The 23941-nt window shown below is 36.6% G+C and overlaps 1 protein-coding gene across 21 annotated transcripts in view, besides 1 other annotated feature; it reads right to left on the bottom strand.

Moving 5' to 3' along the window:
• Positions 1-23941, bottom strand: part of TTN (titin) — a 281435-nt gene that overhangs the window by 216188 nt on the left and 41306 nt on the right. For 17 of the 21 annotated variants that reach the window (NM_003319.4, NM_133378.4, XM_017004821.1 and 14 more), the window contains 4 exons: positions 22351-22635; positions 22001-22126; positions 16808-16996; positions 10948-11004 (listed from right to left, as the gene is read on the bottom strand). In NM_003319.4, the coding sequence (NP_003310.4) occupies positions 10948-11004; positions 16808-16996; positions 22001-22126; positions 22351-22635 (657 nt within the window). Of the gene's footprint in view, positions 1-2228; positions 9864-10947; positions 11005-14045; positions 14622-15365; positions 15741-16807; positions 16997-22000; positions 22127-22350; positions 22636-23941 lie in introns of those variants that run through there. The other 4 variants (NM_001267550.2, NM_133437.4, NM_133432.3 and 1 more) reach the window with 4 other exon arrangements.
• Positions 5082-6281: an enhancer, noted in NCBI's record as "CDK7 strongly-dependent group 2 enhancer chr2:179611985-179613184 (GRCh37/hg19 assembly coordinates)". NCBI's record gives its function as "activates an origin of replication core promoter dependent on BRD2, BRD4, P300/CBP, MED14 and CDK7 cofactors, with strong dependence on CDK7, by STARR-seq in HCT116 cells {active_cell/tissue: HCT116}" and the evidence as "EXISTENCE:reporter gene assay evidence [ECO:0000049][PMID:35650434]".

The raw sequence follows: 23941 nt of genomic DNA on the forward strand, positions 1-23941 counted from the left end.
AAATGCTCTCATGAGTTTTTCTTGAGATATAATTCCAATTTTAAAGTTTGAAAAACTGCTAATTAAATAGTTATAATAATCCAGCATTATTTAAATCAACTTCTAAAAAGATCCAGAATTGTTATTTATATTTAGAGTTTTCTTGAGGTTAAGAATAATCTTCTTTGTTAAAGACTGATTATTTCCAAAATAAACCATTGATGTTCTAATTACTGCCTCTAAAGTCATTATTAAAAATAAGAGGCTACAGGAAATGTTTAATTTGGATTTGTAAGAGAACCACTGTTTTCAGTTTCTAGAAATGCAGGCCTTCTTTCATCTATGTAAATCACCATATTACTTGAACAAAGCCTTTGTAATAAGGCATTAGCCAAGAAAATAAGATAATCAAAAATAAGAGAAAACAACTCCAATATTAAAAGTTCATTGTATTTTATTGTATAAGAAAACCTATACAGAACCACTGAGCAAGAAACAAAGCAGTGCATAACAGAGACTCTTTAAACAGTATCCTGGATGACAGGATGAAAGACATGTAATTTTAAACAAGGAATTCGATTTTTTATTAAACCTCTTAGCTATGTAGAACAGGCCTGTTATTAGTAGTTTTATTGCCTTAGCAAAAGGCAGTTTTATGATTTTATTTGGTGACTTCACTTGCATCACATGAAATAGACTTACACCTTAATTCCTTTCTGTTCTAGCATATAAGCATTAGAAGACAGGACTCAAGTGTCTGCTGGCTGTAAAAATACTGGAGAAACTCATCTATAGCATGCAGAATACATATTCAGGTATTTATTATTTTAAGTAAACCATAAAACCATTGATAATTTTACATATTAATGGTGATCACTTAACTTCGCATTTAATCTACAATACATAATTCGCGTTACCTTTCCCTTCACTTGAACTCACAAAATATCTGTAAAGGGAGTGAATGTGAATACAGTTAAAATACCCTTACTCACTACTATGTTGAACTATTTGCAAATATTTTACTTCAAGCCATGGTATTATTAGCCATAAAAAGGATAGTAAATGAAATTCAAATGTGCTGAAACTTGAAAGGCATAGTTTAAAAAATTACATGTTGTGGTAGCAGCTATTAATTGTCTAAACTCAACTATGTGCAATACAATAAATTCTTTATCCAGAATCAGAGAAATTAATATTTTGGGGTTTTATGTTACGTGCCATTGAGTCAGAAAATAAAAAATTCCATTTCATTATCTATGACAATTAAAGTAAGCCAAGGCTTACTTTTCTTTATTCAGTCACTGTTATTCTGCGTATACTCAAGCTCACCATACTTGAAACTAACAGAATTACAGAATTCTAATGAGCAAAACCAAACAAAGCCCTCTTTACTATATGAATAAGAGTGTTTTTCAGCTCTTCCTGAAATCCAGTAGGACATAAAAACATTTTTCTATTTCTCTCTTTCTCTTTTTTTAAGAAACAAGGTTTGAACTGTTGCTGTGCTGTATGATGTTTGAGTAAAGCATGCTTGTCATGTTTGCCTCAATCTGAGTTTCTCGTTAATTTTAACATCCATTATGTGACTAAGTGCAGAATAAATCTCTAAGTTCCTAATCTATAGAATTAGTTTTATTTCAGGAATTTGTGATGTGATATATTACATTATGTCTATAATTATTATCACAGATATTGTGTGCTCACTGGTTGGAACAGGAATGATTGTTCTACAATAGTGTATCTATGCTGATGAGTTATGGTGGCTCAAACAGATAATTCAAAATTTTTTTTGTGAGGGAGGCAGGGGAGGCCTGGCTGCTCTGCCTATTTTCTGTACATTGTCTCTATTGCTTCTTTAATTTGGATAGCTGTTAGAGAATTCCCATGTTGAGAATAAAGACTGATAGATGAAAGAAACATAATAAACATAATTGGATATGAATTCTTTTGAAAATTAAATTTAAATTGTTTACATTTCTAATTAAAATTAGCATTTTAAATATGATAATGGTACTTAAATATTGCTAAATGCAGGTGACAAATGTAGCCATTAAGTAACAATAAGTAATTTAAGAGGTGGAGGGAGATAAAATTTATCTTTCATTGTAATATTATTTCTCTCGTCCTTTGTTACAAAATTAAAGTTTATTCTAAATTGTATTAAGAATAATTACTATTAGCTTAACACAGAATTGTATTGTTGAATGATCACCTCTAAGGTCTTTTGGTCCTACCCTTCATTTTCAGAATTTTTTATATTTGTCGAGTCTTATATGAGAAGACTTGGGTCCACATTAGTATATAGGTAAGATATTAAGGAGTATGTTAATTTACTGTTATTTTAATTTTAAAAGACAAAATTAAAGAGTTACTTTAGAAACATAAACATCACAATAAAAATTGAATGCTTATTAAGCTATATTCGTTTTAAAGATGAAATTCAGTGAAACTGATAGGAAAGCTTGTTATCTTGTTATTTATATATAATCTGAAATACAAATTACCATATTGTCTCAATTCTAAAAATATCCCACCTTTTTTTAAATTTTAAAGATTCTGAAATCAGAATACAGTTTTAAAATCTATATGTAAACACAATATGATAGTTTCCCTTTTTTCCCCAGGCCAATACTAAATTATTGCTGCATTTTACACTTGATGTCATCTCAAAAATGGAGAAAAATAAGGTATCTCCAAAAGTGGAAAGATCTATTTGCTTATTTTGCAAATGTCTAGGTGAACCCTGCCCACAAAGAGCACAATTGGTCCCTTGAAGCCAGTGAGAATTAAAGCACTTATGAAGAGGAATATTAATAACGAAAACATTTTTAAAAGAGATGAAGTTAATATATTAAGATTGAAATGTCAAACAGATTATAGAGTTAGTTGCCAATTGGGAGAAGCTGGTTTTTGTTGTTTGTTTTGCCTATTCTAAGTCAAAGTAAATAAACATGAGTTTGGATGCAAAGGGGTTAAAATTCCAAAAATAACTTAGAATGGGAGCAGAGAGATTTGCCCTTACCAATTTGTCTGCGTGGTCATCTGATATGGTCTCCACTTTTACATTGTACTTTTGCATATATGGTTTATCTGCTAAAAGAGAGTCCATTCCACTGAAACACTTTGTGGAGGAGGCATGAGGGTAAATAGAAGTACAAACAATTAGGTAGCCAAGGAGAGATTTAATTGTGTTTGATATTACACAGCATGATTGACACAAGTGATGATTCCACAGTTCAGATAACAAAATATTTACATGTATTACAAAGATGAGATTTCTACATAGAGATTATTTCTTTAGGGGTCTCCAAGGTAATGAATTCAAATATGGTGGACCTGTTTGGAAGTTTATTAGATCCACATAATTTGGAAAATATGAAAGCACTCAGATCAATGCTAATAATTACTGAGGCACTAAAACATTACATTTTAAGTTAAGGTGAGTGCTGCAAAGCTCTCAGCCATTCCTGATTTGTTTGTAGCTACACACCTATACTCTCCTTCATCACTCTTTACTAAGCTTGTTATAAACAGGTTATGGAACCCTGTGCCACTTTCCTCAACAGTGAACCTTCTTCCTTGGACTAATTTTCCATCTTTGTACCAGTAAACCGTGGGTCTTGGAGAGCCACGAACTAAGCACTGAAAATATGCTGCTGTACCTATTGGTGCATAACAGTCAGAAATACCTTTGATAAACCTGGGAGGCCCTTCCACCACCTGAAATTCAAAAAAACTGTCTGTGTAGTTGCTCTTTAAGACCAATTCTTCCATTAAACTGCTTAAAGTCACTTTGCTTTTCTTTGCTATCACAGCAAATATTTCAGAATCTCCCATGGTGAGGAATCCCCGACAGATAGCCTCTCCTACACAATTCACAGCTCTGCACCTGTATGTTGCACTATCAGAAAGACAGACATTTCGAATTTTAAGAGTGTGACTTCCCTTCTCCTCGCTAATCACGTATTTAATATTATCTGGCTCAATACACATATATTCTTTATACCACTTAACTTCGGGAGTCGGGATCCCTATGACTGAACATTTGAATACAGCATCTGAATTTTCTGGAATTTTAAAATCACAAATAGGCATTATAAAGCGAGGAGGCATTTCAAATACTTCTAAATCAATTTTTAGTTCTTTGTCTTCTCCCTCCCTTGAATCCATATTTGGATCTACAAAATTAAATGGAAGAACATCTAGACTCACAATCATACTTTTATGGTCAGGAGTAAATTCGGGAACTGTCACTATTTTCACCTGCTTCTCAAATTCTTTAACGTCTTTTTCACTTAATTCAACTTCCAGGACAATTTCTTGAGGAGAAGGTGTTCTTGATGATGTGGTGTGTTCCAAATCAAACTCCATGACATGCTGATGTGTTACTGGAGGTGGTAGTGCCACCACTCTTTCTTCCTGGGGCATTATGTCTACATTTGCAAAGCTCTTTGCTTCCCCTATGATGTTTACAGCATGACACATGTACTCTCCCCCTTCTCCTTTTTGAATGTTAGAAATTTCCAGTGAACACACATTACCCACTCTTTCCATTTTGATTCTTTCATCTGGCTCTAGTAAAGATTTATTTCGATACCATTTCACACCAGGAACTGGAAGACCTTCAACTTCAACAATGAAGCCTAGTGTTGTGTTTTCATATACCTTCCTTTTGGTCAGAGGTTCAATAAAAGATGGAGGCATTTCATTGTCTTTTGGCTCAATGGCTTCATTGGGTGTACCAAATGAATCGGAACGCCATATTTCATAAGCTGAACCCCTCTCTTCTGTAGGTGTGTAGAAATGCTCATTTGGTGTACCGTCTTCCCTTTCTATTTTTGATGGATATGTTTTAAAAGTACCAGTGGGGTTTGGTCCTCCAGTAGGAATAGAATATCTCTCTAGTGCCTCCCCTGGGGGTGTGGAATATCGCTCTAGAGTCTCTCCTGGGGGTGTGGAGTATCTCTCCAGAGTCTCTCCTGGGGGTGTGGAATATCTCTCTAGAGTCTCTCCTGGGGGTGTGGAGTATCTCTCTAGAGTCTCTCCTGGAGGTGTGGAGTATCTCTCTAGTGTCTCCCCTGGGGGTGTGGAGTATCTTTCTCCTACCTCACCTTCGGAAGGTGTTGAATATCTTTCAGCAACTTCCCCTAAAGGTGTGGAATATCTTTCAACTGTCTCACCTCCTGAATGTATTGAGGATTGTTTAGTTATATCTGAAGGATTAAAATATAAGTCAGGGGACTTTGGAGATTCAAAATATTCAACAGATGATGGTGGGGTATAAAACTGATCTAACTCAGATATTTCTTCACTGGTTGTACTTCCCACACCAATGGAAATGTCAGACTCAGGAGAAAGTGGACGACCTAGTGATTCCTGTTTCTGGTTGTAGTATTCATACACAGTGTTGAAAGTTACTTCTTCCACCTCCATTGAAGTGATTGATTCACTCTGGACAAGCTTTGCCTGGTCTCTGGTGTCTTTAGTTTCAGGAACCTCACGCTTTCCAGCAGCAAGTAAATATTGTGTTAGGGAGGTCTCAGATTCTGCTGCCTCAGTGGTATGTGCCTCATCTAATTTAGGAATATTTTGAGAAAAACTAGTTTCTATCATTTCTCCTTCTAAAGTGGAGAAAGAAGCTTCATTCTGAACTTGAACTTCTTCATAACATTTTTCTTCTCCAGAGGCATGAATGTTTGTACTTATTTGTTCACCTGGATTCTGTTGTTCTTCAGTCATCAAGAGTGGGAAGCACTGACTCAGGGAGAGCTGTCTATGGAGTGTGTCAGCTTCCTGAACATCACCTCTGTGGTCTTCCAAAGTGGCATCTGTATATTCCTGTGTCCCACCATCCTGCTTTGGAAATGCTGCCAACTCTGGTTCTAGAGTGCATTCTTCTTCCATTTCACCAACCCCTAAAGGCTTTTCCTCACTTGCTGCTTTTTTCAAATGTGAGATGGAACTTCTGCCTCCATTTTCTAGAGGACAACTTTTCTCAGAAAGATCAGTTTCTTCTATATCTGCAGATGAGGTTGGAAGTAGGGCACATGATTCACTATAGATTTCTTCAGAAAAGGATTTAAGAGAAAGATCAGTTTTTAAAATGTCTAAGTTTTGTTCCTGTACATGTCGGACTTCTTTTTCTAAAGAAATGGAATTTTCATCAATACTACTTTTCTCCACCATAGTTCTATTTGAAAGCTCTTGACTGGAAGAAATTTCTTGACTGGCAAATACATTATTTTGCACACTTTTAGAGATATTGTGTGTGTCAGGTTGTAACGTTTCAGGGCTAGGAATTTTTTCTTTATAATGTATTTCCTGCTGTTCCCTAGTTTCTTGCCCTTGGAACTCCAGAGCTGGATCTCCTATATGAGAATACATTTGTTTTAGATCAAATACAATGTTCTCAGTGTCAGCAGGATGTTGGATTTTAAAATAAGCTTCTTCTGGTTGACCACTATCTAATTCTTGGAATTTCACATCTGTGTGTTTTATTTGAGTGTGAAACTGCTTTAAGTCAAATGTAATAGGTGATTCATGTTCAGCTCTTTTAGAAATTGCAGGTTTATCTATAAGACTTATTTTTTCCTGTTGTTCCCTTTCTTGTGCGTCAAATTCTTTATGAGTTTGAGAGGAAAGCAGCTTTAAATTTATTGCAATGTTAGATGAATCTGATTCAGTATTTGGAGACATTTTCTCTGCCTGATACATATTTGCATTTAGATTGCTTGATCTTGATTCTCTTTGCTTTAATGAAAAGGCTTTGTCATCAATCTTCTTTTGAGGAGGATTAACAATTGATGTTCTGGTAGGTCTTTTTTCTAGAACTCCTTTTTCTACATGTAATTTTTCAAATTCGATAATTCTATGCTTCACCTTTTTCCCCGGGTAGTGTATCTCTTCACCAAGGGATTCTTCATATACAATGGCAGATGAATCTTTTGTATTGTAACTGTCAGAAATTCTCTCAGAGTGAATATTTGGTAAATAGTCACTTTGGGCACATTCTTGTACATTTTCCTTTTCTGATCTACCAAGTTTTCCAAAATTATTTCTTATTTCTTTCTTAATAGTGACATCACTGAAATCATCAACAAATGGATAAACAGTACCCTCTGCTTGGTGCAGCTTTGATTTTTCACTTACATGTCTCTCTTTCCCTTCAGCCTGACATTGTATGAATTCAGCCCTGATGGGCTTGCTGATTTTTATGGTTCTTGAAGCACCATGCACAAATCTGGGAATTTTTTCTCTAGAAGGTATGCAACGCACCTGCTCTTTCTGGTCTATTTGCTCAATAGTCTCAAGGCTTTGAAAATAGTCCCTTACTGAATATTCTTTTACATTTGTCCAGGGAGTAAAGGGACCAGCTGGATAATCATAAAAATGTGCCCTTACAGATTCTCCCTGGTCTTGCAGTTGCTGATCTCTGGAATATTTTCCATAAATTTCACCAATATTTTCGAATTGACTATTTTCTCTATAAGTGACAGGCTCCACTGTTAGATCTGAAACACTTTCAACTGCCCCTGAATTGTTTTCAGCAACACATTTATATTTTCCAGAATCTTGAGAATTAACATCCTTAATATATAATTGGTGGCTACAATTAACTTCTTCAAACTGAAACTTCTGGTTCTGCTTTAAAAGGACTCCATTTTGAAACCATGTTACAACTGGCTGGGGCTCACCAGATATTAAACATTCAAGAATGATGGAATCCCCTTCTCTACACCTGGCATGCTTTGGCATTTCTTGTAACATTTTTGGTGGTTCATTAGTAATATCAGACAAAAATACAAATCTGTGTTTTGGTGATTGAGTAACTTGATCTTGAGGCATTGCTTTAGGTTCCAGCTCCTCAGTTTGAAACACTTCTTTAGACTCTTTATCCTGTTCTGGGATAGGAGTAGCTGCTGTTACCTGAATTTCTACAGGAAAGGAAAGCAATTCTGTGTCTCCAGAGGGAGGAACTGGTGGGTTAGTTTTTAACAAATGAAGATTTGTTTGGCCCTCTTGACTCATAGATGGATGGGCGCCTTTTGCTTGGTCAAACACCAATGCTAACTCTTCTTCCTCATCCAAGTAGTCATGGAACACTGGGACTTTATGTGCTTTGACATCATGTTTTTGTTTTGCTTTCACTTTAAGCATACTGGTTGTTTTTACTGTTCCATATTGGTTAAATAGCACACAAGTAATAGAACCTTCATTCTGATGATGAACAGATGAAAGAGTTAATATTGAATAGTTTTCCAACGAATGAATGATAAAGTTTTGATTACGTGGGATTGGCATGTCATTGTTATACCACGTCACTATAGGTTGAGGATATCCTTGAAAATGACACACAAAATTACAACTGTCACCTTCATAAACTTCTTGAGATTCAATTTCTTGAAGAAATGAAGGTGGGCAACGTTGTGGGCGTTTTCGAAAAGAATTTTCAAAAAATCTCATGTTTTCTTCCTTCTGTTCGGTTTTGAATTCATCAATTCGTGTAGAAGCAGAGAGTTGTAATTCTCTCAAATCATCCTTTTTTATTCTTTCACTAGCTATTTCTTCACTTTCTTCAACATTTACAAGTGTACCAAAAGATTCGCTGGCATGTGGTGTAATAGCTTGAGACACATTTTCAGGAGTCTCATATACTTCCTCCTTCTCACATACATTAGTGATATATGTGGATGACTCTCCAATTGTAGTATTGGCCATAATTTCTTCCAGCTGTCCTCTTGCTTGGGTATTTTCATTTACTAGAATTTCACCATATAAATGGTCTTTTGGTAGACTTTCCTTTACCAGTGCTTCTTGGCTCATTCTTATTTCAGTCTGGAAAATTTCTTCATCAACAATAGTTTGAAAGCTTGTGGGAAGTTCCTCAGATTCTATATTTTGATCCATTTGATTAGAAAGGGCATGTGGATTTTGCACAATACTCTCAGCTGAATGATCTACCTTATAACTTTCAGCTAGATCAGACATAGATCTGATTTTCATGTCCTCTCTAGAGAACAGAATATCTTTATCACTAGCTTCACTTCTCAAAGTTCTTGAGCTTATTTCAGAAGACGTATCTAAAAGAGATAATTTCTTTTTCTCCATTAATGTTTTTCTAGCCTCCCTTAAACGTTGCAACTTCACTTTGGTCTCCTTGTCCAGGAAACTTTCACCTACATTAAGCCAACCTCTTATGTCAGATTTACTTTCTAAATATTCTTCATCATACATGTAATCTGTTTTCTTGGCAGAACTCATTGTCTTAAAATGTATAGTTCTCATCATTCCCTTTTGTTCCACATCTTGTTTTTTGTTAAAGGGAGAGCCAGTAAACCTCAGGTCAACCTTTATCCTATCTTCTCCCCTTTCAACTAAAGCCTCCACATTTTCATGTGTCCGTTCTGCTCTTTTCAGAAATTCTAAATATTTCTCATCTTGCCCTTTTTGGATAACAAGCAATGATGCAGTTGATTCTGCAGACCCTTCACTATTAATTGCTAGTAACCTATAACTTCCAGAATCTCTGTCTTGGACCCTTTTAATCTCTAAGCTGGAAGAGTGATGGTGTAAATCACTCTCAGCTTTTATAATCCGACGAAGACCTGTTGGGATGGGCCGATTGTTATGAAACCAAGTCATTTCTGGAGTTGGACAGGCAATTAATCTACATGTAAAAACAACCGGTTCACCCTCTAAAACATATTTAAATGTAAGTTTCTGGGTAAAAGAAGGCTTAAAATATTCAGGCCAGGAGCTTGTAGATGATATTCTACTTGCATATCTTTTAGCAGCCATGGATTTGTGGTCTATGTCTTCAGAATCTGAAAAGGCGTCACGTGTATCCCTTTCTGAATGTTCAGATTCCCCCTCAGAGAATAATTCTGGAAAAAAAAAAAAAAACCTTTACTATTTTCCATAGAACTTGAAAAAGTTGAAAGTAAATAAAATTGCAAAATAGGAAATGAAATAAATTGCATGCTACAGATCTCACAAATCCATAGAAAAATTCACTCACCATATTTGTTCGAATAAACGCAACACCATGCTCTGTTTAAAAGATTCTGACACGAAAATCGTTCGTTGTCTGGTCTTTTCTTCAAACTGTTGAAATTTCTTCTTGAACAAGCAAAAATGCATTTCAAAATAACATGTTCCTGTGCATATTTGTTTTGAGAGCAGGAAAACTTTGTTCTTTTGATGGCTAAGTGGAAAATCTTACCTGACTTGCAGAGAGTGGAATAAACGCCCTTTCTGATTCTTTTGATTGTAGATTAAATTATTATATTTTTGAGAATCAACTATTTAAAGAGTATATACAAGAACTATAACCATAAATAATTAGCTAAAATAAAATGAGAAGGCGTTTATTCGAACTAATACAGCCATAAAGTCACAATGTTATGCAAAGAAAAGCAGGCAATAAGGATCACATAAGGCAGCTATCTGCAAGCCAGTGTAAGAGACATATCAATGTTAAAATGATATATGTGAATGAAGTGTAAACCAGATGGGAATGTAATGTTTTCACACAACCTCAGTAAAGTAGCATTTCAATCATAATTCATTCATGACATTGCATTCTGAGAATGACAGCTAGGTTATTGTCTATTTTCAATGTAATTCACCGTGATTTTGAAAACAAACTTCTACTTCATGATTTCATGCATTAAGATGACAACTTCTCCTAATATACACTTTTGGAAATGACTGCAAACATAAAGTTGAATTTGGCTGATAAATTTTAAATACAAAATTTTAAATTAACTTACAATAAATTACTGTGAAATGCATGTAACCATCAAAATTCTAAACCAAGCATGCGACATAGTAATATATACTCTAAGAGATATATTTGTATATCTATGTCATTTTTTTCTCAATAATACTAAGAGAAAGAAGGCAACTCAAGGATCCTATTAATCCTTTAGAATTTCTACTTAAATCTCACATCCATTATAACAATACCTTTCATTTCCATCTCAATCTCTTGTTCAATCCTCTCATGCAAAATTGATTCAGGAGCTAAAATAGAAAAACATATAAAGAGATTTTAGTGATTAATTGCATATATTTTCTGCATCAATTCATGACTTGTATGATTAAAGTTTTCTTTTTATTATAACAACAGAAAACTACATTCCCCAAATTTACCAAAAAGTCCATGCCAAACAAACTATTGAGCTGATAAAACACATGACAATGTTGACAGAAAGATTTAAAACATTTTTATTTTAGGTTCTTCATGAAATTTCCACTTTTAGTTCTATAATTCCCCATGCCTTTACATGCATGCAGAAAGCAATCTACAAACCGAAGGAATATTATTTTCTAAAAAATGTCCTATTGACTAAACACTTGCTAAGAGATGAAATCACATTTAGAAAGAACATGCATTTTCTAAATTGCTACTTTAGCAGAGGGCTATTCTCAGTTTTTCCTGCTAGTAAACACTCCTTTGATTTGAATCACCTTTCAAACTTTGAACTACATGAAGTCCAAATTACATATTAAGAAACAAAACAAAGACTTATCAAAACTGTTTTTATTCCACAAGGAATATGCACAGCTTTTAGACACAGTCATATCTAGGGCAGCTCCTTGGGAAAGGCTGGGGCTCTCGTATCACTCTCAGTCTTCAGTCCACGTGGTATCCTGTCAGTAGACTTTATTCCCTTGTTCTCAGTTTCTTACGGTTTTTGGCATGAAGTTAATGACAAACTTGATGTTTTCTTTGACGATTCTCTTTTTACTTCACGGGTTGTTTTAATTTGTGACTCTCTGAGTGTTTTAATACTTTTAGTGTCAGAACCCAGAGTAATTTTTGTAAGTGCTCTGGCTTGCGATTCTTTTGCTAGGTAAGAATAAAGTTAGGGAAAGGCATAAATTAGCTGTGTTTGTAAGAATGAAAAACATGCTGAATGTGGAGAAGATGGAATGTCATTAGGATGAGAAGGAAAGGCAGCATGTTAGTCATGAAACTTATATATGATATGTTTATGTTTATTATGCACATAATAACTGTATTCAAAAAGACTTCCAGGGGTTTGACATTCCTACTTGATCTTGGTGGATAACTCTGTAGCCTATATGAACTTATTAAGCCAAAATAAAAAAGGAACATATAAAGACTGGCCTATGTCAAATAATTAGACAACTGTGCCTGATCTTTCACTCTTCAAACATCTAAAAATGTCTTATCTTTCAACTTTCTTAGGTACAAGTAAGGCAGTTGGATGTTCAAAAAAATTCTTTTGCTTCAAGAACACTTTAATAATATTATCAATTGGAACTGAATGAACTGGAGATCCTAGGGCAAAAGAGCCGAGTTCAAATCAATTCTGGGAATATGACAGTCAAACACCGCACTATAGCACTAGATTCTTTAGGAAGTGAGTTAAGAGATCTACATTTCTCCCACCTTCACAACACAGCCAACTCCCAATTACATTACTGAAAAAATTGTCACACTGTCACCTACAGGACTTGTAGACAACACCTCCAAATAAATAGTGACTCTGTGTGATTACTGTGCTAGCCAGCAGCTGTAGTGAAATTGAGGGTCAACTCTCTGGCTGGTGGAATTTTCTATCTAATTTACATAACTAGACCTCAGTTCTTGAGATATTGCCTTTGTAGGCTACGGTGACAGAATGAGAGATAGCTATAGAACAAAATCTCATTAAGAAAGAATAAGACCTCTTTTTGGTGAGTAGGTGTTGCGGATACATTATATGAATCAATAAACTGTATTCTCTGTACTGGGTAGGAAGAAAGGCCACTGTTTCAAAATTCTGTGCAGAGATGGCTGTGCACCTACATAGCACTGCATTGCCCCCTTTTCATCCCTAACACCACTATGGCCAGGATCAGGGAGGAACTTGAGGCCAGAGCTTTCCACAGACCCCTGGAGATGCCTGAATTTATTCCACCAGCTTCCTTCCATGAGACTCAGTGAAGCTGTTTTGACTACGGGCACACAACACAGGCTTATGGCACCTGAAAAATATTTTTCTCATTTCATTAATATCCAAAAGGAAAGTCCATGGATAAGAGGAAGAAGTTATTACTTGCCCAGACAAGTTTATTCCTGCTCTTCCAGACATAATGGAGAATCAAGCCCAATAACGACAAAAATTGTGATCTTGCCATGAGAAAATTATACAATTCCAGGAGGATTTTAAGCCTGTAAAAGCAGCATCATTTATGGAGAAATATCTAGAGACTTCTAATTTTGGTCCAGAGAGAGCTTTGTTATTTTCAGTGCCCAATTTTCAATTTTCTATTTTTCTTTTTTGGAGATGGAGTCTAGTTCTGTTGCCCAGGCTGGAGTACAGTGACCCTATTTCGGCTCACTGCAACCTCTGCCTCCTGGGTTCAAGCGATTCTCCTGGCCTCAGCCTCCTGAGTAGTTGGGATTACAGGCATGCACCAACATCCAACATGCCTGGCTAATTTTTGTATTTTTAGTAGAGATGGGGTTTCACCATATTAGCCAGGCTGGTCTCAAACTCCTGACCTCAAGTGATCTGGCTGCCTCGGCCTCCCAAAGTGCTGGGATTACAGGCATGAGTCACTGTACTTGGTCCCAATTTTCTATTTTCATGGCCCCTTTGTAAACAACTAGAACCTCCAGATGTGAAAATAAAGAGGAGATAAGAATTGTTGAACCTCTTGCTATTAAAACAATTAAACTGAAATTTACCACAGTATCTGGCACAATAATAAATACCCAATAAGTACTTCTCAGAATACAACATTTTAACTTTGCTACACTTTCTTGGTAGTGCGTTGGTAAATATTAGAAAATGCAGCACATAGGAAATAAACCTTTGCTTCCCGAACCTACGTTTAAAAATTAAACTTTCTGAATCTAGACTGGTAAGTTAAATTTTCAGGATAATCATGGCCAATGACTTGGCTGACTTTCAGAAGTCACTTATGAATAGGGTGCTAATTTAGAGATATTCTAATTAATATATTCGTCGATTGAATTTGCATGGCAGAAAAGCTGCATAAAGCGATGAGGATGAAATGAAGCAAGTCATAGCTAAAAATCAATTAACCACCTTCTACACTTAGTACTGCTGACGTTGTCCTCTCTCCACAGTCATTGTGTACAATGCAGCTGTATAGTCCTTGGTCTACCAGCTGAACATTACATATGGTAAGAAACTGAATATTTCCATTTTGTGATTGTTTCAGTCTCTCGGATTCCTCTATCTTTGCACCTTCGTGAGTCCAGGTTACATCAATGAAAGAATCATCTTTTAAAACACAGAGGAATTGAGCCGTGTCACCGCACTTTACAGTGACGTCCTGAAGATGCAGGAAAATCTTGGGCGCCTCACCCGTGGACTCTTTAGCACATTCCTTAGATAGCTCAGTGCTTTCTGCAATTTGTGAAAGGGATGCAGTATGGCACAACTGTGTATCTTGAACAGATGCAGCTGTGTGGATGGAACTTTGAGATACACTTTCAAAAACCTGCACTTCATATTCATATGATGATCCTTGAAATGACTTAATTTCCTTTTGAGATATTTTGCTCTCCTCCTTTGTGAAAGAGGAATCTGCCACTGCCTGGGACTTGGTGGACTCTCTTACATCTTTCCCAGAACTTTGCCTATCTAGGGCTTGCACTGTATAATCAAGTGACAAGAAAAAGAAAAGAATATTAAGATCTAAGCTTTGTCACTTGCCCATGTTAGTAACACAAAATGGCATGGAAGATGAAGATGAAAGACGTAGTTGTCACTTGAAAGCAGCATGCCAGATGCAATATGATCTAGATGTCAGGATCACACAAAAGAAAATTCATTCCTGGTGATTCAGTGCTGAGTGGTTGATGAAGACTCATGCAGATGCCATGCAGTATCTGGTTCCTTCTTTCTGTTGTCATTTCAGCTATCCAAAGTGACCCAGTCTGTCTTTCTCTCTCTCCCTCTAGCTGACTGTATTTGGGTTAGCATTTGCTCTCCGTCCACTGTATGCTTTAAGTACAGTAAGTAATACTGTACTTACTTTAAGTACAGTAAGTAATACTGTACTTACTTTAAGTACAGTAAGTAATAATCAGCAAATAGATCATTTAATGATGCAATGATACAATATTGCTTAGAAGAGTAAAGAAGCCAAGCAAAGGTGGTGCCTAATAAAATAATTATTGGTTCTCTAGTGCATAGAACACATACTTCAGTGAAATTTAAAGTATGTAGGTTAACCCATAATTGAGGACCTAGCGGGAGTTATTGCATGTTATTTTATTAGTAAGTTATGGACTGACCACAGTATGCAATAAAACAAACAGCAGAGACTCTCATTAGTAACAGTGGGACTGAGAGGTATACAGCAAATCAAAGTCCTTGAAGCAAGATGGGCTTTACCTTTTGGAGTCACTGTGAGTGTAGCTGCACAAGTGGCTTCCCCAGCACTATTGGCTGCTTTGCAAGAGTACTGCCCAGCATGCTCTGAGTAAGCATCAACTATAAGCATTAAAGCCATGCCTGTGGACTCCTCAAAATGGAAAACTACATCTTTTGTTGGTAGAATTAGCTGCTGGTTATGAAACCATTGGATTTCTGGCTTGGGAATGCCAGAAACCCTCGCATGAAATCTGACTGTCTCCCCGTTGTGCACCCTGAGGCTTGACAGAGGCTGGATGAAGCTGGGCTTTTGGCCAAGGGGCTCCTTCTTAAATGAAACTGATAAAGAGACATGCCATTGGGAGTTTGATGTATTTTCTTCAAATTTGCTAAATCCTGAAAAGAAGCATACCAATTTTTAATGTCTTACCTTGCACTGAAACCAGAACTCATTTGGAGTTGTCTACAGATTTGTCACAAATTTCAATAATGGACTAGAATTCAGTCCACTCCTACTGCCTTGTCCTTGTATGTCACTATTGACTCGAAGTCACACAAGTTCACTTCCATTTCCCAGAGAAGCAAGCTGAGACATGAATGGGCTAAGGAACTTCACTACATTGTTCATGAAGGCAATAGTGGAGTACCCAACAGGGTTTTGGATATTCTTTTCTTTCTTCCTCTTGTTGTAAAGTCAACTTTTTAATTTTAAACCACTTTAAATTCATTATTTAAAAAAACATCTAGTTACAGTTAATGCATAAGGTTAAGAAAAAAATAGTTTCTCTAAATCCTTATGTATTTGTATGTACTTAATACTACATAGACTATATTTGCTCAGGAAAAATAGTACCACTATATAAAAATGCTATCCTTGTTTGAATCAAATTCCCCATGTTACTGAGGAAGTGTTTCTGATTACAATTTAAGAGCCCCAACTAACAGAAATGTTAAACCACTTTAGGACTGGACTTCTTAACACTAAGACATTCTTGAGAGGAGGATGAATATAGCTCGCTGGTGTACAGACCTGAAACGGTCTAGCTTTTGTGAAATCAAAATTGTGTCAGCATGATAGGAGGATGATAACACTCTTAGATGTTTTTAAAATTTAATTTTTATCTTAGCCAATTGAGAAAACAAATCTACCTATTTATGCAGCATATTTCGCCCCCTTCTGATTCATGCTGATTAGGAAGCATGACAGCTGGTGACAGCAGCAATACATTACAAATTGTTACAGAGAAAAAGCGGGGCCAAATGAAACGTGATGGTCTATGATTCACAATGAAAAGTGGTAAAGGAGAGGCGAGACCATGGCATATAACAGGGAAATAATTAGTTGAATTAGAAGAGAATGGTAGGAACAACAATGATTTACATGAACTCTTGAGTAATTGTTACAGACATTGTTAAGATTCGATCTATATTTAAATGGGGTTCTGAAAGTTGTTTTACTTTACCTTCCAGACTCAGGTTGGCTGTGCTTGATACTTGGCCTACAGCATTACTAGCAACAAACGTGTAAGTTCCTTCATCTTCTGGATAAGCTTCGGCAATTTCCAGTTGATAAGTGTCTTCAAATTGAGTCATTCTAAAGAACCGAGATGGCTTGATTTTCTTGTCTTTGCTGTACCACGACACTTTTAGATCTGCGACACAAAAGAAAAGAGATACTTCAACCACAAAAATGAGTGGATTTTTACAATTTACCTGCAAACACAATGTTAATAATACTAGTGCCTACATTTCATATTTGACTTAATAACATGATACTTTTCTCTGGGCATGCCATATCTACTATTGTTAAATGATTTCCTTTCATCTTCAAGAAGGAAATGTAATGATAGAAAAATATAGCTTGTCCTAAGGTTGAACTGGTTGTAATGTTTAAAATGATAGAACTTCAGTTACATTCTCTTTAGACATTTGCATGTCATGCAGTGGAAGCAGAGACAAGATTTTGACATATTCAGTGACTTTGAGAAAAAGACAGTCCTAAGAAGAGTCATCAGGAAAGGTTTGATCTGGGCTTGTAGTTGCCTTCTGGGACAGGAAATGAGAAAAATCTCCACTTTTGGTTTGCAGAAAAATCAATCAAAAAGAGAGCTGAGAAGATCAAGATATGAAAAGTCTAAAATAGATACCTTTGAAGGCTGTAGAAAAAAAATCTCTATCTTTGTTACTAATGAGCAAAAGGTTTCAGTACGCAGTATATATGGCACAAATAATTGTAGAGAAAATAATTTTTTAAATAAAGAGGGTGATTTATTATGGTATTTGAGCATCTTAGATACATTTGACTCTTTTCAGAGTGGCAGTTATAAGACATTATAATAAAGCTAGCTATTTCTATATAAGGATTTGAACCATCTTAAAATAATAGAAAGTAAAAACCCAAATTACAGTAAAGTAGCAGGTTATTGTGTTGTAATAATTGTAGGTGATATGCACTTTAATTTTAGTTAACTGTTTGAATAGCCAAAATCAAAGCCATCTTGTTTTTGGAGCACAGTCACTATACCACTTCTTGGTCTCAAAACCATCCAAGATGATCTTCTAATAGTCCAATCATCTAGCATTTGTCTGCATTTTAATGCCAATACTTGTCTATAAAAGTTACTCTCCTGCCCATGATGGTAGATGTGTATAAATGGCAGGTTCTCCTCTTAGAGTAACAAATCTGTTCAGTTCCTTAGATAGTAAGGTAAAGTAGAAGATGAAATCCTGGCCAGGCGCGGTGCTTCACACCTGTAATCCCAGCACTTTGGGAGGCTGAGGCGGGCAGATCACGAGGTCAGGAGTTCGAGAACAGCCTGACGAACGTGGTGAAACCTAGTCTCTCCTGAAAATACAAAAATTAGCCAGGTGTGGTGGCACACACCTATAATCCCAGCTATTCAGGAGGCTCAGGCAGGAGAATAGCTTGAACCCGGGAGGGGGAGGTTGCAGTGAGCCGAGATCTCCAGCCTGGTGACAGAGCAAGACTCCATCAAAATATATACATATAAAGAAAATGAAATCTTGACACTACAACTTGTCAGCTGTGTGGCCTTGGAAATGTCATTTAAGCTTTCTGGATTAGTCTTTTCATTTGTAAAATGGCATGCGTAATAATTTATGGGCTATTCGTTGCATATAATTGCTGTGAGAATTAAATGATATAACACACATGGAAGGGCTTTATAAGCCACTGGCACAAGTCAGTCATTATAGCAAGAATATCTAACATCACAGATGGAAGCAACGTTGTCTTCAATAACACGCCAAAAGACAGTGCCATGTGATATAACATGAAACACCACCCCTATTTAGTTTGTGTGAAGGGGTGTGTGTGTGTGTGTGTGTGTGTGTGTGTGTGTGTGAGATCATCAATGGTACATCCTCTTACAAGGTTCTCTGCTTATTTCTACTGACAGCTTCTTCCTTTGGTGAACTGAATGAGGCACCAGGATACACATGAACTGCCACTGGACATGAACTGCACACAATAAGTGAGTTAACAGGTAAAACTTTTCTTGGTAGTGGACTTGGTGCTTGTGGCTGTGATGCCATGATCTGCGTTACTCATTAGCCTCTCGTGTCTTCTTTGAGGCCATTCTTCTCCCATATTACTACTTCTGCAATACCCCACTTGTCTCTCCTGACTGCCCTGGCTGAGGGCCTCATCCACGCTCTCCAGGCCTATTGTAATAATCTCTCTCCAGTTCCTGACTGCCAGTCTTGCCTCCCACATCTGTCCATCCCTTCTTTCCCTATCACAGTATCACTTCTAAAAAGTAAACCTGATCATGGTACCCAGGGGCTTAAAAATCCTGCAGTGTCTCCTAAATGTAAACAAGATCAATTCCAAAATCTTCAGCATAGAATACCAAAAACTTTAGCACGGCCTTTGCTGTATTATCCAGCCTTCTTACCCACTCATGATATCACTTTCCAACTGTACTTAAACCACTTGCTTCTAGCACATGAAGCATTATTGCAAGTTTTGATGACTTGGAGATGTTGTTTTCTCATCATAGGATGCCACTGTGTTCAATGATCCTACATATTTTTCAATGCTCAGTTCACACATCTTTCTCTGGCTCTCTCCCAGACAGAGAATGATGAGTACGTGGGCCTGTTAATAGCACTTACAACCTTGGGATATAGTTGTGTGCATGCATCTCCTCACCTACATGTCAAGCTCCTTAAAGGCAAGAGCAAGATCTGCACCCCAGCACCTAGGGTAATATCTCAATAGCAGGGAAACAATAAATGGTAGAATTAAAATTGCACAGATGCTTAAATGAATAACAGACAATATCATTGTTAAACTAATTATTCATCATTTCTGTTTAGCTAGCTGTCACTCTGTAAGCCTCCAAATGACACTGACTCATCATCTGTAGAATAAACAGCAAAAAAATAGCTTTTTTACATTTTAAGATTCTGCTTTTCCAAATTACTCCTCTACCAGTAGGTGGCACTGGAGACCTTCAATAGGTAACATTTTCGCTGTTAGAAACAGCACCTGGTTGCTCAGGGCCACGTTTCATGCTTCAGAAAGTATTACAACCCCCAAGAACATGGGAGCTTCTGAAGACTCCCAATTTCTTTCCAATTTGTGGAAAGCAGGGCTACACTTACTTAAGGCAATACCTGGCCAGAGGAAGTTCTGTAAATATTTTTAGTCCCAGTGGTATGAAACTATGTGAGTTGGCAAGTTTTTGAAGGGTCATTCTATTTAATGAATTTAATTTCTTTCATATAGAAAACAAATTTATAAGAGGATGCTAAAACCACTATATGTGTACAGATATTACCACACATAGGAAGTTAATGATCTTCTCAGTTTACAAAGCCTATTCAAACCTTTTTAAAGACATTGGTTATGCAGAAAAGATAGTGAAATTTTTCTCTTTCTACCCCAATTGGTGTCTTGTAGAGTGCTTCAGGTGTATTTCTACAACACTTTAAAGGCAATACTACCATATGTTAATATGTTATAGACTTAAAAGCACTATACCAATATAGTTAAGACAAATATTACTACTTTGAATGATGTACATATATGTTTATATTAAAAAATTCCTCTAAAAATTAAATAAATGGATAAATTATTTAGTGTAGCTTTAATGAACTTGCTTTTAAAATATATTTTGTATTATTGTGTTAGTAGGATATTATCAAATCAGTCCTCATTTATTAATATTTAGCATTTCTTGAACACTATCCCTCAAATATACAGTCTATGGTATTTGTCCATACTGGCCATACAATACTAAACATTGATGTTTATATAATTCCTCTCTATGGCTATAATAAAATGAATGTATTGAGCCCCAGTTACCTGGCAGCCATGCCTATAGGTGCTTTACATACATTATATCTTTTAATTATGCTCATAAAATCAAATAGGTCTATTAGATTTCTAGATCACCATCTCCATTCCTGAGGAGGAAATAATTGGGTCAGAAGACCAACTGAAGTACTAACCTGTTGAGAAAAATAAATCTTGACAAGGTAGAGATTGGATTATAAACTAATGGGAGAAGCATAATAAACAAAACAATACAACTTTGCAATTACTTTTGCATCAGCCTAATAAGAGGGCTGGGAGATGCCCAAGCTTTGAGAGTTTCCCTTTGGCTGGGAAACTCTCAAATAATTGTGATTATAGACAATCAGTTATGACTTGAAGTGGTTCCACATATATTGTCTCATTCTACCAAGATCAGATTCCTGGGATGAGGAAATTGGCTGGTGGTACTTGAGAAGCATGCCCCAATTAAAAATGGTAGCAGCTAACTCTGATTGATTACTGTATGATGAGCACTGTGCTATGTGCTGACTTGAGTTACCTAACTTAATCTTGATAATAATCTTAAGTGTTTGGTAACAGTCATTTAACCATCATTAATTAGTCCAGTCAACAATTACTTATGGAGTATCTACTATGTATCAGGTGATATTCTGGGGCAACCATCCACTCTTGTTTTCATAGAGCTTACCTTCTAGCAGGTACTATTTTTCAGATGCCAAATTCTAGGCACTAAAACGGAATTCCTAGCCTCATAAAATATATTTTCTAGGATTGAATGCAATCATATACTCAATGTATTCATGACAGAAGGAGAACGAGAGACATGATATATATTGAAGGCAAGATTCAAATTCAGCATCTTTGACAATGAAGCCCCGACTTTTGACCACTATAGGATATTGTCTTCCAAAGGATACCTTTCACACAAGCATTGTCCATAGACTGAATAATGTCTTATATAAATGTATTATTCTTTTGAATTATATGTAGATGCTATTATAATCTAATAATTTTAGTTTTGTCATTGTATTTTATCAATGAAGAAATTAAAGTGCAGCTACAATCATAAAGGGAACATGACCTTTTTTAATATTAGTGAAAAACACTAATTTTTTTATTGTGATAAAGAACACATAACATAACATAAACAACCATTATTAAGGGCACAAAATAGTGAAAAACACTTATCTAATTCTTAATTTAATAATTGAAATAAGTTTTCTGTTAGATTTCCATTAAGCTTCAAATTATGCATGAGAGATGTTTGTGATGGAGGAGAAGCTGACAGAATGTTTTTCCCATGTAATTATTTGTAAGTATTGGCAATGACACCTTTTGTTCTTAAACCTACCTGTTCCAGAAACCCGGCATTGAAAACGGGCTGGCTGCCCTTCAGAAGTGACAGTGTCCTGAAGCGGGGTGATGATGGCAGGTGGATAAACAGGCATTTCCTGATCAGGAGACACAACTTCTGGAACTAAAGAAAGAAACCACAAGATTTGTCATGATTAAGTCACCATAGAGACCTCACAGAAGGGAGCATGTAGGTTTATCTTAATTTATTTCACTGCAGAGTGCTTTCAAAGTTGGGTAGCAATCTACTTTTATGAGCTCCAAATTGTATTTTTAAATGCACTGGGAAAGGACAAAAGCCTGCTTCTTAGGTTTTATTTTCAGCTGGAAGTAGCGAGGCATTCCTACCTTCCACTGAGAGTGAAGCTGATGTTGTGGCAACACCATAGTCATTCTTGGCTTCACAGGTATAGACTGCCGCATCCTCTGGGAAGGCTTCAATTAGCAAAAGCGTGTATTCTTGCCCATCATGAAGAAATTTGCACTTGAAGCCAGTGGAAAGCAGCTGCTCTTCCTTGTACCAGGAAATTTTGGGCTGTGGTCTTCCGGATATCACGGCACAGAAGCGGGCAGGCTTGCCAGACTGCACAGTGACAGGCTGGAGCTCCTGCAGAACTTGGGGCGGTTCAGGAGCTAGGAGTAAATGTTGACAAATAGCCCATGAAAAAGTGTAAAAACACAAGAGAGCATGCAAAACTCTACATTAATTTGTTGCTGGCTAGTTATACATCCAGAGACAAAATTTTGGAATTGTGGTATTTTTACTTGCCTCAGAATATTAGAACATTCTTTGTGCTAAGAATGAAGAAAGCACTTGGAATTTGTCCACATGCAGAGGGAATAGCTTCAGAAAGATATTTTTGATATTTGGGGGGCATGCTGAGAGTGCCGAGTTAACCTGATTATCCCAGTTTCTGTTTGTGGTGGGGGCTTAGCGATGGACACCTGAATGAATTATACAATAACTTCCGTGTGCTACCTATTTTTAAAATTCATTTGGACAAATCATGTGGTGAAGAGGCTCATATCATTCCAGTTTGTTTGTTTTGCAAGTATTTGTGTTTATGTCATAGTCATTTTGTTATGTACCAGTGCCAGTAAAATGCAATCAGTAAGTATTGAATGAATGACTGAATTAACACTATTTCAGATCTAGTTAAATGCCATTAGGTAGACTTAACAAATTCAGCTTTCCTGTTTTGCTAACTAAAGCATATTCTCAGTGCTGTGATGAGTGAGGGGACCTGGTTAGTTCATGGAACCCAGAAATTAGAAGAAATGACTTCTGTGAGGCTGGTTTCTGACACTATCATAGAAAAGATCTTTACTTTTCTGTGCCTCAGTTTCTCCACTACTAATACAGAGATAATAAGAACTGGATGCCATGACCATTTGGTCTTCTAGGAACCTAGGGAATGCTGGCGATATGGTTCATCTTTGTGAATCTTGAGATTACCCCTGGAGTTCCTGCATCTGCCTCAGGGGTATTTTATTCAAAGAGATATGGCCTAGGATGAGAATAGGAAGGGAGGTTCCATTTTTCTCTTGCATCTAGGTTAGACTCAAAACAAGGTCAGCTTGAGATTCAGCCTTAAGATTTCTAATGAGGAGAGCAGAGGTTTAACAGCACTTCCCTGGGGACTGCTCAGAGGCTCCTCAGGAGTGCTTGGTAGCATGTGGAATTCCCTGTCCAAAGTAAGAGCCCCTGTTCTTAGAGCTTGGGGTAGAGAGGATCGAGTTCCACATTGCCTGAGGCTCTCTAGGCCTTCCAGGGTCTCAAAGAGGACTTTTGAGTTCTCCCAGGCACTCCATATCAGAGGCTGGAAACACCCCTTTCACTTGGTAGTGCTGCTAGGACTTGAGCAGTTCAGGCAGAGGGCAGAGAACTAAAATAGTTTAACAGCGAATCTAGAAGCTCATCTGGGGTATATGAAAATGG

This window comes from Homo sapiens, chromosome 2 (genome assembly GCF_000001405.40).
Source record: "Homo sapiens chromosome 2, GRCh38.p14 Primary Assembly".
In the NCBI taxonomy this organism is placed as follows: Eukaryota; Metazoa; Chordata; class Mammalia; order Primates; family Hominidae; genus Homo; species Homo sapiens.